The sequence below is a fragment of the Homo sapiens genome, chromosome 14 (genome assembly GCF_000001405.40).
Source record: "Homo sapiens chromosome 14, GRCh38.p14 Primary Assembly".
Classification (NCBI taxonomy): Eukaryota; Metazoa; Chordata; class Mammalia; order Primates; family Hominidae; genus Homo; species Homo sapiens.
The window spans coordinates 47,223,187-47,236,602 of record NC_000014.9 but is presented as its reverse complement, the minus strand read 5'-3'; the positions used below and the strand labels follow the sequence as shown (position 1 = coordinate 47,236,602).

Here is a 13,416-nt window from a genome sequence, read left to right as displayed (position 1 = left end):
TTTGCCCAGAAACTAGGGAAGCATTTGAGAAGACATCACTAGCAAAATCAGGTTTTTTGTTTTTGTTTTTGTTTTGTTTTAAAAGGTCATTCGAAGAAAGCATCCTGCCTACTTAACATTTCTTTATCACAGAAATAGCATGTGAATCTCAGTCTCTTTATGTTACCTCTCATGACTTTCCTCAAACACCAACTGCTCCTACACATTTCCTACTAGGCTTAAGTGTATCCTTCAGCTTTGGTCTTGGAAAAGTATCTTGTAATAACACTCTTGCCTCCCCACAGTGTTGTTTTTTTTTTTTTTTTTTTTTTTGAGGCGGAGTCTCGCTCTGTCACCCAGGCTGGTGTACAGTGGCCCAATCTCGGCTCACTGCAAGCTCCGCCTCCTGGGTTGACGCCATTCTCTTGCCTCAGCCTCCTGAGCAGCTGGGACTACAGGCGCCCGCCACTATGCCCGGCTAATTTTTGTATTTTTAGTAGAGACGGGGTTTCACCTTGTTAGCCAAAATGGTCTCGATCTCCTGACCTCGTGATCCGCCCACCTCGGTCTTCCAAAGTGCTGGGATTACAGGCCCCACAGTGTTTTTTGCTTGTAACACATTTTCTCTAACCATACCTTTGACTCTCTGCTTCTTGACCCTTGGACCCACGCATTGGCATTGGTAAAGTGTTTAATTCCCAAGGCCAATTTTAGCCTTCAGATATGGCTTCCTGAGCAGCCACTGGGGTCAGCTAATGAAGCTCAGCCATGTGGGAAAGTTAGTTCCTCTCGGCATGAGTCTAGATATATGGGAAACAGGAACAGGAAGGGATAAGACAGATAATTTATTATTATTTCTCCCATCAGGGAATGGCAATGGAAGTATGTTTTCCCTTTGCAAACCTTCCAGATAATCTGGTATGCAGAAGAAAGGCATATCACGAACAACACATCCTTTGCATTTCCTCACATTTTTCCTTGCCACAAGATTGTCCATCCCCTTTTCTTCTCTCATCTTCATTTCCTGAGCTTGCACCTCTCAAAGAAAATGTCAGTACTCTAATCCTTGCTTCAGGCTCTGGTCTTTTTAAAGGATTCAGACTAAGATAACTGTTATTAATCTACGCATTTAGCAAAGATTGTGAGGAACAGAAAGGTTTTTAAGATCCCCTCTGCCTACACTGTCTGAATTGCCATTAGTTGTTCACATTATTCTTTCGAGGATGAGTTTCTAAAAAAGCAAAAACAATAAAACCTCCTCCTTCAAAAGACACTGAAACTTTTTTGTATCATAATTCCAGGACTAAGAAAATTTCTTCCCAGTCAAAACTTTTAAGTAATAAATGTATTATAAATTAATAAATTGAATGATTGAACCAAAGAATCATGAGCTATTACTAATAGGCATTTTGATATGTCATAGGTTGTGATATGCAAAAATTGTTTTATGACCCAGTAGGATACGTGACTTCTGTCATTAGCTTCTCTTTGTCTTTCAAGTCTTATTAACTTTGGAAAGTAAGCAATTTGGAAGACAATATTGTAAGTGATGCTTGAGATGCTTAAGAAATATCTCACACTCTTTTAAAATCAATAAGATAATGAAGATTTTGATCATTTCAACATACTCTAATTATATAATTAGATATCATAATTACGTGTTCAAATTGTTACACATATGAACACTAATTTCTTAATAAAAGACAAGCCAGCTTTGTAAATATACCGTAATTGACTGAAGTGACAAAATTAAGTAAATACTTCCATCAGAGAATATTAGGGAAGGATAAAAATACATTTTTATAATACAATGCCTTTCTATGAACTCTAGCATCTGCTATTTGTTGGAAGTCTTATGTGTATTGTATTCATTTTGTAATGAGAGTTGCTGTGAGACTGTTACCTAAAATAATGAATGTATAAATGTATTAGGTGAGGCAAAAATCCTTATCATGAAGTGCCACAGTAGCGTCTTGGAATGTATGTCATTTCCTGTGGCCTGATAAGTTTAATATGTATTTATTTCCTCTTGGTGTTGTATCTTTAACATGTACTCTTGCCAGAGAAATTGATATTTGAACATATTTAATATCCCAGGACTTCTTGGGAATCAAGTATAGAAGCTGCAGTGGTAGATGTGCATTCGGAATACTGAGATCCTAGGTTTTTATCATTTCCTTTACTTAAGGAATACAGTATGTGAAAATTGCTATGATAAACCAAAATTTCAGATATGTCCAAACCTTAATTGATAATTGATAAACGGTGTCTATAATTTACCTTATGGTATTTTGTATACTAGAGGGTTTGTTATTATGCTAGATGACTTATGATTATGGTTTCACATATATCTACATATATGCATTTATATAATATATAATATGAATATTTACATTTAATATTTATAATTTAATGATATAAGTATTTATAGCATATATGCACACACATATATTATTAAGACAATATTAAGTTACTGTGTCTGGTAATTTTATTTTTATTGCTATGTGATTGTCGGTCTTATTATCTGAATGTAAAAAGTAAGTTCAGTGACAAGAAAAATAAATATTTAAAAAAGATATTTTGCTGTTTTTAATTTGAACTAGCCAGGTAGACGAAAACATTTTAAGGGTTACCCTCAATAGTTCAGGAGGCAACAAACAGGCTGAATAGTTTCAATTGTGTCACCTATTTTCTTAGAGGACCTGAGTGCAAGTTGTGAGGCTAATAGAGAGATCCATTAGTAGGGGTTCTAATTCATAACTTTTAAAGGTTTGAGTTCTCTCTCCCCAGTCCTTGTGGTGGGAGTGAAATGTTCTCAGAAATGTCTAAATGTAGGTTTGAATTGAAACAGTCTAATATACTATCAGGTCAATACTTTGCCTTTTAGTTAACCACATAGCATGGTTTCTTTTATAAACTGTAACAAAATGTTGTTTTCCCGCCCTTTGCGTAAAATTTTCTATAGTAACATCTTTTTCTTTGAATTTTAGGACCAGTAATTCCTCATTTTTATTCTCCCTCTGCCATCTTGCTTTAATGACCCACCTTACTCATACTACATATCACATGAAGAGTATTCAAAGCAATGAGATATCCTTAAGAAAATGACAACCAAGGCTAAAGTACAAATTTGGATTTTTAAGAAATCAAGGACAGTACACTGATGCAAGTTGAATATATGTTCACATAATTGCTAGCTTGAAAACTAAGCGCGTAAGGAGAGACGACCAAATCTTTATCATACGCATTGTAATTTTGACATAGATTTTAATATATCGGTTTTGTAATAAGAATTTTATTTATATTTTACCTAACATATAGTTTAGTGTTTTATATGCAGTTCTCTCAGTTATAAGGTCTAATGATTGTAAATATTGTGAAATATATCTTCATTTATGTCAGGATGAAACTAAGTATTCATGGGTTTTTGCAGATATTGGTTTTATCTTTACATGGATAGATGAACTGGTGACATAGTTTACTATCAAGCAGTAAACTTTTAGTTTTAAACTTTATAAAGTTATTTATTAAAGTGTAAGTACACTGATAATTTAAATACTGAGTGTGAAACTCTTTTATAATAGCAGTTACTTTCAGTTGAAGGCACATTAAAGTCTTTATGAATTACGCAGAGTAGCTTCTGCATGTTTAAAATAGTACCAAGTAATGTTTTCATTTAGCAGAACGTAACTTCTGATTGTTCACACTCTGTTGATGGTGCCACTTCTCTCTTTAGTTACCAATGCCCTCCTATTTTCCATCATTCCTCTTTCTGTCATTAAAATTATAGAATTGAAAACCATCATTTAAACTCATGGGTTTACAGATAATACTTAGGCAGCTAAGAGTATCTGTCAACAAATAAATTTCACTGGGCAGTTAGAGTCTATGGTGTTGATTTATCATTTTGGAATAAAGCTGCGGTTTTCTTTTATAGGTACCACAGGTAATTCCCTGGAGGGAGCATACTTTTGGAGAGTGGGGGCTGTAGAGGTGGCATAGTAGTACTGACTTTACACTTCACTTTCTTTGGCCTGGCTTTCAAGGTGAACCTCATTGAGGTTGGTGGAGAGTGAAGGGAGAAAAGGTTTATCAGTCAGGGTTCAATTGCAGACAATAGAATTCATTTAGCTTGTTTAAACACAAGTGGATTACTCTAGGTAATTAATTCCTTACAAAACATAAAGTCTGCAGAGAAATGTCCTAAGGCTATGCCTGCAAGAATAACATACAGAATAATATCACAGCACTTGCCCACCAAGAGAACTGCTTCTTCTGTTAGAATCCAAAGTAACTCTCCCTACCAAGGTCCAAGAAAAATGTACCTTAGTTATAATCAAAGGATTAAGAAGCCTGCCCTAAAACTGTTGGATCTGTTTCTTGACTATGTATACTGTGATTTGCACCAACAAAAACTGATGCTTTACAAAGCACATCTCTTCCCACTTAATCTGGTTCTGAATTCTTCATGATATAACCCAAACTCTGTCTGCAAGCTTAGAGCAAGGGAGTCTGGTAAACATAGATTTTAGCTTTCTGGCCCCTGAATTGAAAGAAGACTTTCTAGTCAAAAGTGGAATGAGATGATGAGTGTCCAGGAAACTGTATCCTGTGGTCATATGGGGCAATCATATGGAGAACTTTCCTATCCATCTACCCCCATAACCCATTTGATCTTACCATCTTTGTACAAAAGTCAAAATATCTAATTTGCTACTCAAGACATATGTCTGGAAGCTGCCAGTATGTTAACAATTATATCCTATCATTTCCCTGCTGTTTGTGGAGAAGAACACTCTGTTTTCAGAAGATTCTCAGACCTTTTTTATTTTAACTTTTGAATTCTCCATCTTCTCCCTTTTTTTTTTTTCCAACACGAAGGTTCAATTTTTTTTTCTTTTTCTTATTTTTTCCGTACCAGGAACATTCAGTTCCAAGAAACCCAGGTAGTGTTATTATAGGATAACTTTGTGTTTTATTCTTCATTGCTATTTCAATTAGGAAAAAAAATCTGGTAGAAATATAATATGTATAGGAAACTTTACAATGGCTGAGTAAAATTTAATAATGTGTGCTCACTTTACCAAGAGTTACAGCAGCCTTCCATTTTCACTTGTTCTTGGAGAAAGGTTTCCTGATCTACCTAAATTAAAGCTACTGGAGTCAATGTCTCTTAACATCAAAGTGAGATTGAGCACAGGCTCTGGACTCAGATGGTGTAGGACTTCCATCCTAGCTTGTTCATGTACTACTTTGGGATCTGAGAAAATCATTTTCCTTTCTGATGCATCAGATTCCTCATCTGTAAATTTAGGATCTAGTACTTAGTTAATGTGACTCTTAGGAGGGTTAAATGAGATGCATTAATAAATAATTTGGCCGAATAAGTCTTTAATAAATATGTGTGACTTTCAGTAGAAAAACAGTCAATACAGATGCTTGTTGGAACCCTGGAAGCACTATTTACTAATTGTGCAGTAGTAGGAAAGTTAGTTAATATTTTTGAATCTCAATTTAGTCATCTGCAAATTGAAGACTACAATATATTTACTGCTGGGGTTTACATGAAGACGATTATTGAAAAATCCCCAGTAGAAAATCGAGCACAAAATTAGTTTACATTTCTTATCTTTTTAAGCTTTATTCAAAATCCAAAGAAGGTAAATATAAATCCTTGCAATATTTAACCCTACATTAATCTAGTGGGTTGAAATATTTCAAATGTGTGTAGGAATAGTGTACTGTTAATGCTCTCTGATTCATTGGTCCTAAATTGGGCTACTTACATGAACATTTAAAATGGTCCTCTTTAATGTATATTGTTTCTTATGCCTCAGTTTAGTTTCGCATATCTTATTGATAGCTTTCAATCACCTGGATGTTGAATGGAGTTTAAATTGTAAACTGACAGATGTAAAGGTCATTTACATCTCCAAGTGTTGCAAGGTACCCATATAATGTGTTGTTGTTCTTGTTCCTATTTTTCTAAAAGTCGTTCAAATATTATAGTGGCAAAATATGAGGTAAAAATTTGTCCATAAGATTGAAAATGTACCGATAGGAATTGGAGATGTTAATTTTCTCTTTCCAGTTTCAGATGCCTGGAAAAATGCAGAGGGGCAGATGTTTCACTCTATAATATTCCTTAAGCCATTTTAATTTAACTTGTTTTGGGGGGGATTTTAGATGAATTATTAGAAAACACTGTTAGAATTGCACTGTATTATGTATTTGGTATAGTTTGGCTAAATTTACCTGCTAGAATACTTGAATACTGTAATTACAAACATCTCTGTCAAACCTATATGCCTTGGAAGCATCCCATTTTTCTATAATTGTGCTGTTGTATAATTTTGTTGGTGTTTAATCCCTTAAATAGCAGGAGTTCATTTGGTTACCTTATGAATAGATGTAAATATGACTGTAGTAGAGCACACTGGAACAGAGCAATTTATTTTTATTACATTTCTAATACTCTGCAGTGTTTGCAATACTGTTAATTTAGATTATATTCTATTATAAAAAATCATTAAAGGAATTTCTGCTTCATTTTCAACAAGATTGAGAATAATGGTGAAAGAAATTCCCATAAGAAACTTTTAAGGAAAGATGGAAATGCTCTTCCACAGCAACACTTAAAAAAAATCTTCCATTTGTAAAATTTGTGATAAATCAATATTGATTATTAAGTGTAAAAGTGCCAAATTTACATCAGGGAAACCTTTTGAAGCTATGGGAAAAACATTACAGCCAACTGGAATATCCTCCTGTATTTATTAACTCTCATTACAAAAAAGGGCTTGGAATATATGGTATGTCATTATAGCATCTTTACCTACATAAAAATGACATACTGATGATTCAGCTGTGATTTCCTGTTTTAGGCCATTAAAGGCCCAGTTTAATTTTTTTTTTAATGAATAGTTTATTTTTTCTCTCATGAGCTGCTACTCAATATTTTTTTTTAGATTTTTAAAATATAGCATTTCTAATGAATGCAGTTTTCTTTATTTCTTTAGTTACTTTTAGTTGTTTCTTCAAGGGCATTACTTTTATTATTTTGCATTTGATTAACAGATCTTTTATTTATAGGGCCTTCACATTTTAAAAATGTATTTGTGTATTTTTATTAAGTAATTTTTTATTAAAAATTGTTTGCCTGCTAATTCTGAATTTAGAAATAATAACTAAAGATAAGCATCAATTCTGTCTCACAGAAAAACAGTCTAGTGATAGAGATTATTGAGATGGTATAGTGGCTTCATGGTGTCATCAGGGACCCATTCTTAGCACATGACTTCTCTCTTGAGGTAGGCCCACAATTTAAATTGGATCCTGGATTCCCAGCTATCACACTTGAATTTCAGAGAATAAGGAAGAAAAGCTAGAAAGATAAGCTCCTTTTAAGGAGCTTTTTCAGAATTCCCACATGACACTTCTGCTTATGCGGTATACTATATATGTGTAAAAAAAGAAAATAGTTAATTTAGCAAGCTTGAAAATACCATACCTGTTTGCCAGGTTAGCCTTTGGCTGGCATCTCTGAATCTGGACTTCAAGAAATGTCCCACCATTCTCCAGCTGATAAGAGTGGCTCACTATGTCTATTTCTTTCTCTTTTTTTGCAAACAATATAGTTTATGCTGGAAATTTGCTTTAATTTTGGGAGACTGGAATTTTGATATATTGGGCAGAGGGTGCCTAAGTGGCCAGCCCCCAGCAAAAATCTTGGGCACTGAGTTTCTAATGAACTTCCCTGCTAGACAGCATTTCACAAGAGTTGTCATAATTCAACATTAAACATATCCTGTGTGACTCCATAGGGAGAGGACTCAGGAGCTTGTATCCTTTTTTCACCAAACTTTGCCCAATGCACCTTTTCCTTTTACTGATTGTGCTTTGCCTTCTTTCATTATAATATGTCATAGTCATGAATATTACTATACATATGCTTCTTGACTTACAATGAGGTTACATTCCAATAAACCCATTGTAAGCAGAAAAAAATGCATTAATTTACCTAACCTACTGAACATCGTAGCTTAGCTTAGCCTACCTTAATGTGCTAGCTAAAGATGCTCAGAACAGTTACATTATTATACAACTGGGCAAAATCATCTAACACAAAGCCTATTTTATAATAAAGTGTTGAGTATCTACTGTAATTTATTGAAAAGATCAAAATTTGAAGTATAGTTTCTACTGAATGTGTATTGTTTTCACACCATCATAAAGTCAAAAATCAAGTAGAAAAATCATTAAGTCAAACAAATCGTAAGTGAAACAATCAGTCAGAGACTGTATAATGAGTTCCACAAAGTCCTCTGTGAATCATTGAACCTTGATGGGGTCTTGGGGATCCCTGACAAACAGGAAATTTAGTAAATGACTATTTTACTACTTTTCAAGTTATGAAACATGTTTTAAAGTCTATCACAGATCCAGTATTTTTTTTTATAACTAAGATAAATACTAGTATGTTGTGTTTTTATTAACATTCTCTTTTCATCAAGGTGGACTGTAAAGTTTTGGTTTAAATAACTGGAAGGATGGAGTTACCAGTAATCGAGATGGGAAAGACTGGGAGAGTTGGTTTGGAGGGGAGATCAAGAGTTCATTTTGGATGTGTTATGTTGGCGATGGAGAGCAGGCACTTGGTGGCTAAAAGTCTGGGATTCAAGGGAAAGGCCTGAACTACAAATACTAATTTAGGAGCCATCATTACATAAATGGTATTTAAAGTACTCCATGAAGTGACTGAGGAAGTGAATGTACAAAGAAAATGATGAGGCTTTAAGGCAGTCAACTGTTCAGAAGTCAAGGAGATAAGTAAAAACCACCAAAATAGACTAAACTCATTCTACTTTGGGTGCATTGTGGAGTGAGATTTTGTCTAATTCATAATTGTATTCTCAGCAGAATTATATTGCCAGGAAACAATTCAAGCAACAATGATTTTTTTTTTTAATCATTACTGTGTCTCAGGCTCAGTTATTTGGGCTGGAGATACCAAGTTTACGAATAGTCCTTGCCTTAATGAACTTACCATTGGTTAAGGCAAAATTATTATATTTTAAGACTGATTCTTTAGAAATGGAGCTTGAGATGAGGATTCATGTGCAAGTGATTTATTAAGGAAATGCCCTTAGAAGAAACTGATAATGGAGCAAGAAAGCAGGAGAGGAAAGGGAGGAAGCTGAGCCAGGATGTGGTTTCACGAGGTTAGCGTCAGCCTGACACTGCAAATAAATTGGGGTGTAAATTATGCTGCAGAATCTATCCCATCTAGAGGCACGGGAGCAGGGCTTTCATATCCCACAATAATCATTCATCGGCTAAGAGTCACAGGGGTAGGGAATAAACTCCCAAGATTTCCCAGGCTTTCCCTCTGAGTGCAAGTAACTCTGAATCCCTAGTACCTTATTTCATGAGAAACAAAAAGTCCTAGTGAGGTAACATATAGGAAGGGTAAAGGGCTCTAAGGGAATCAGACAGAACACCTATTATCTCCTACAACATATACACAGCTGATTTCTAAAGCATGTGATAAGAACTCTCACAGAGGGAATTTCAGACTGCCATGGAAACAAAGGGGGCAGGACATAATAGAGCTTTATGAGAGAGGGAAAGCTTTCTAAAAAAATGATATCTGGAGGACCGGAGGGTGTTAACTAGATACTAAATGAAGGAAAAAGGGAGAACTTTCAAGTCAGAAAGGATCCCAGTATATAATAGCACATAGTCTCACGGTCATGGAAGGACTGGAGCTGTAAAATGGGGAGGAAAATTTTTCTTACCTTCTAAGCTTGTTGTGGCATTAAAATCAGAGGATGGAACAATAACATTTTGTAAACTTTTAAAGAGACCGAATTCTGATAATGGTGGTTTTGGGGCCCAAGAGTAATGTCTTGGCAGTGCGACAAAATCAAACTTCTCTATGATGATTGCATTCATTTCCAGCATTTTATATTTATAAGCATTTGCACCAAGATGTACCCTCCTGTCACCTCTAGTGTGAAATAGTGCCAGCAGGCCCTATCGTAGTGCTCCACATGCATATAGGAAGTCTGATGCTGTTTAAGAGAAGTACTAAGTTTATCTGTTTTCTCCGATTGTTTATTCACAGAGGTGAATAAATTCCTCAAAGGTTAAATTCAAAGAAAAGACAAAGGGAAAAAAGGATCGGAAAACCTATTGCTATCTGCTTTAAGGCCCATCTAGTGTTCAGAAATATTATGTCCTCGCCCCGCTATTTTACCTGTTTCTTACTTGTCTACCGTGATGAGTCCCTCTTCATCATTCTGTTTTCCGCATAGTGAGTAGACCTACTTTGTGAATCCCTTGTTCTTCAGACTCCTCCCATTTATTTATTTATTTATTTATTTATTTATTTATTTATTTATTTATGGTGAGACAGTGTCTCACTCTGTTGCCCAGGCTGGAGTGGTGCCATCATAACTCACTGCAGCTAGGAAATTTTTTTATTTTTATTTTTTGTAGAGATAGGGGTCTCCCTATGTTGCCCAGACTGGTCTCAAACTCCTGGCTTCAATCCATCCTTCTGCCTCGGCCTCCCCAAGGGCTGGAGTTAACAGGCGTGAGCCACTGCTCCCGGCCAGGCTCCCTTTTTCTATTACTGCCATGAGCTTCTTATCTGCATATATCTTGCAGAAATATTTTAAATTGCATCTTAGTAGTAGTAGTGGTGGTGGTAATAGTAATAGTAATCATGGTCCCTAATATTCTGGATATACTAGAAAAATGGGTTCTTATGCATTGAGTAGAGAAATGGTTTTTTTTTATTTATTATTATTACACTTTAAGTTTTAGGGTACATGTGCACAATGTGCTGGTTAGTTACATATGTATACATGTGCCATGCTGGTGCGCTGCACCCATTAACTCGTCATTTAGCATTAGGTATATCTCCTAATGCTATCCCTCCCCACTCCCCCCACCCCACAACAGTCCCCAGAGTGTGATGTTCCCCTTCCTGTGTCCACGTGTTCTCATTGTTCAATTCCCACCTATGAGTGAGAACATGCGGTGTTTGGTTTTTTGTCCTTGGCGATAGTTTACTGAGAATGATGATTTCCAATTTCATCCATGTCCCTACAAAGGACATGAACTCATCCTTTTTTATGGCTGCATAGTATTCCGTGGTGTCTATGTGCCACATTTTCTTAATCCAGTCTATCATTGTTGGACATTTGGGTTGGTTCCAAGTCTTTGCTATTGTGAATAGTGCCGCAATAAACATACGTGTGCATGTGTCTTTATAGCAGCATGATTTATAGTCCTTTGGGTATATACCCAGTAGTGGGATGGCTGGGTCAAATGGTATTTCTAGTTCTAGATCCCTGAGGATCGCCACACTGACTTCCACAATGGTTGAACTAGTTTACAGTCCCACCAACAGTGTAAAAGTGTTCCTATTTCTCCACATCCTCTCCAGCACCTGTTGTTTCCTGACTTTTTAATGATTGCCATTCTAACTGGTGTGAGATGGTATCTCATTGTGGTTTTGATTTGCAGAGAAATGTTAAGGTTAAAATTTTGTTGCTTTGTTAGAAAATTGTGGTTCTTTTTTTATAAAAACAGATTCAGAAATAAGTGTGACATATTGCTATAATTATTGTAGACTGATACAATTTATTAAAAATTGAACCTGTATGCTCTAGAGTTCTGTGCCATTCAGAATTCCACTTATTCTAATAAGTAATTCAAAGAGAACCTATTTCCTCTGTAATTTTCCCTGATATCAGTGCAGGACAAAAGGATAATTTTTATTTTGAAAACTCTAATAAACTCTGCCTATTAATAATTACGTACCATTGATAGTTCTTAATATTCTTGCAGGCTGGCACTCTGTAACCTTTTTAGGTTTAGTTCCCAAGGCTCTGGTGGCAGATCATCCCAATAATTATAGCAGATCAGGTGATGTTTATGTAATTTTTTTCTCAAGGATTCTTTTAATGCTAAAGGATCTTCCTTCAGAGTACAAATAATGCTGGGACAATGCTCACATTGACATGAGTACATCTGGCTGAACTCCTTGGCAAACAATAGAAAGGAGCTTCAGTGTACAAATCCTCATTCACTAGACATTAATTAAATGGGGCAACCTAGAAGTCTCAGGTCAAAGTATTTATTGAGTTTGTTGCATCTACACAATATACTTTTTGGATTCAGCCAAGTCTATCTATGCTTCAGGTTTTTAATATTTTCCTAAGATTATCTCAGTCAATACAGATTTAATTTAAGGCTATGTAAAAGCAATGATGTTTCAGGAAATATCTATATCTATATCTATATCTATATCTATATCTATATCTATATCAGACTCTATTGGGAATTGAATAGGCCTGAAATAAGAGAATCTCCATGTTGTTTCTTCAGATTAGGAAGAGAGTTACCAAGAAAAGTATTTCCTAAACTCTAGTATCATTCTTTTTCTGTTAATGTTATTTTTACAGAAATGAGTTTAATGTTAAATTGTAAGAGGATTTAAACACAAATGTAATAATATAGCTGATATGGTTTGTCTGTGTCCCCACTCAAATCTCATCTTGAATTGTAGCTCCCACAATCCCCGTGTGTGGTAGAAGGGATCCAGTGAGAGATAATTGAATCATGGGGGTGGTTACCCCCATGCTGTTCTCATGATAGTGAATCCTCATAAGATCTGATTGTTTTTTAAGGGGCTTTTCCAGCTTTGCTTGGCACTTCTCTCTCCTGCCGCCATGTGAAAAAGGATGTTTTTGCTTCCCCTTCCCCCATGATTGTAATTTTCTTGAGGCTTCCTCAGCCATGTAGAACTGTGAGTCAGTTAAACCTGTTTCCTTTATAAATTACCTAGTCTTGGGTATTTCTTCATAGCAGCATGAGAACGGACTAATACAATAGCATATCTGAAATCTGGATGTATTTTATTCACATTGTGAAACCAGGGGTTGTCCGAAACATCCACTCTTCTGTTTTTCCAGAGTTAAGTAACTATCAAATTTTAGCTGGGGGATAGGAAGAAGGTGCTATTCAGAGTAAAGAGTATATTTCCTAGCCTTTCTTGTAACTAAGGAAGAATAACCATATCATATAAGCAGTGTCATGAGGCAGCTTCTAGAACCTTCTGTAAAAAACAAGTAGCAGCTGCTTTTTGCCTGTTCCTCTCTCCTAAACAATCTTAAGCAGTAGTTTACGATACAGCCCAAACCAACATTAAATTAAAATAAATGCTGATGAGTACTGAATTAAGTTAAAATAAATTCAGATGAGTTTTTTATTCATTCATTCATTCATTCCTTAATATGTAGAGGGTACTTAAGGTTTATATTTTCCTGTGTGTATTCTTTTCACTGTTGATATGGTTTGGTTGTGTTCCCACCCACCTTAACTTGAATTTTATCTACCGGAATTCCCACATGTTCTAGGAGGGAC

The 13,416-nt window shown here is 35.4% G+C and overlaps 1 protein-coding gene across 10 annotated transcripts in view; it reads left to right on the top strand.

The window, feature by feature from the left end:
• MDGA2 (MAM domain containing glycosylphosphatidylinositol anchor 2) overlaps positions 1–13,416 on the top strand; it is an 835,983-nt gene that overhangs the window by 439,003 nt on the left and 383,564 nt on the right. The window lies entirely within an intron of this gene.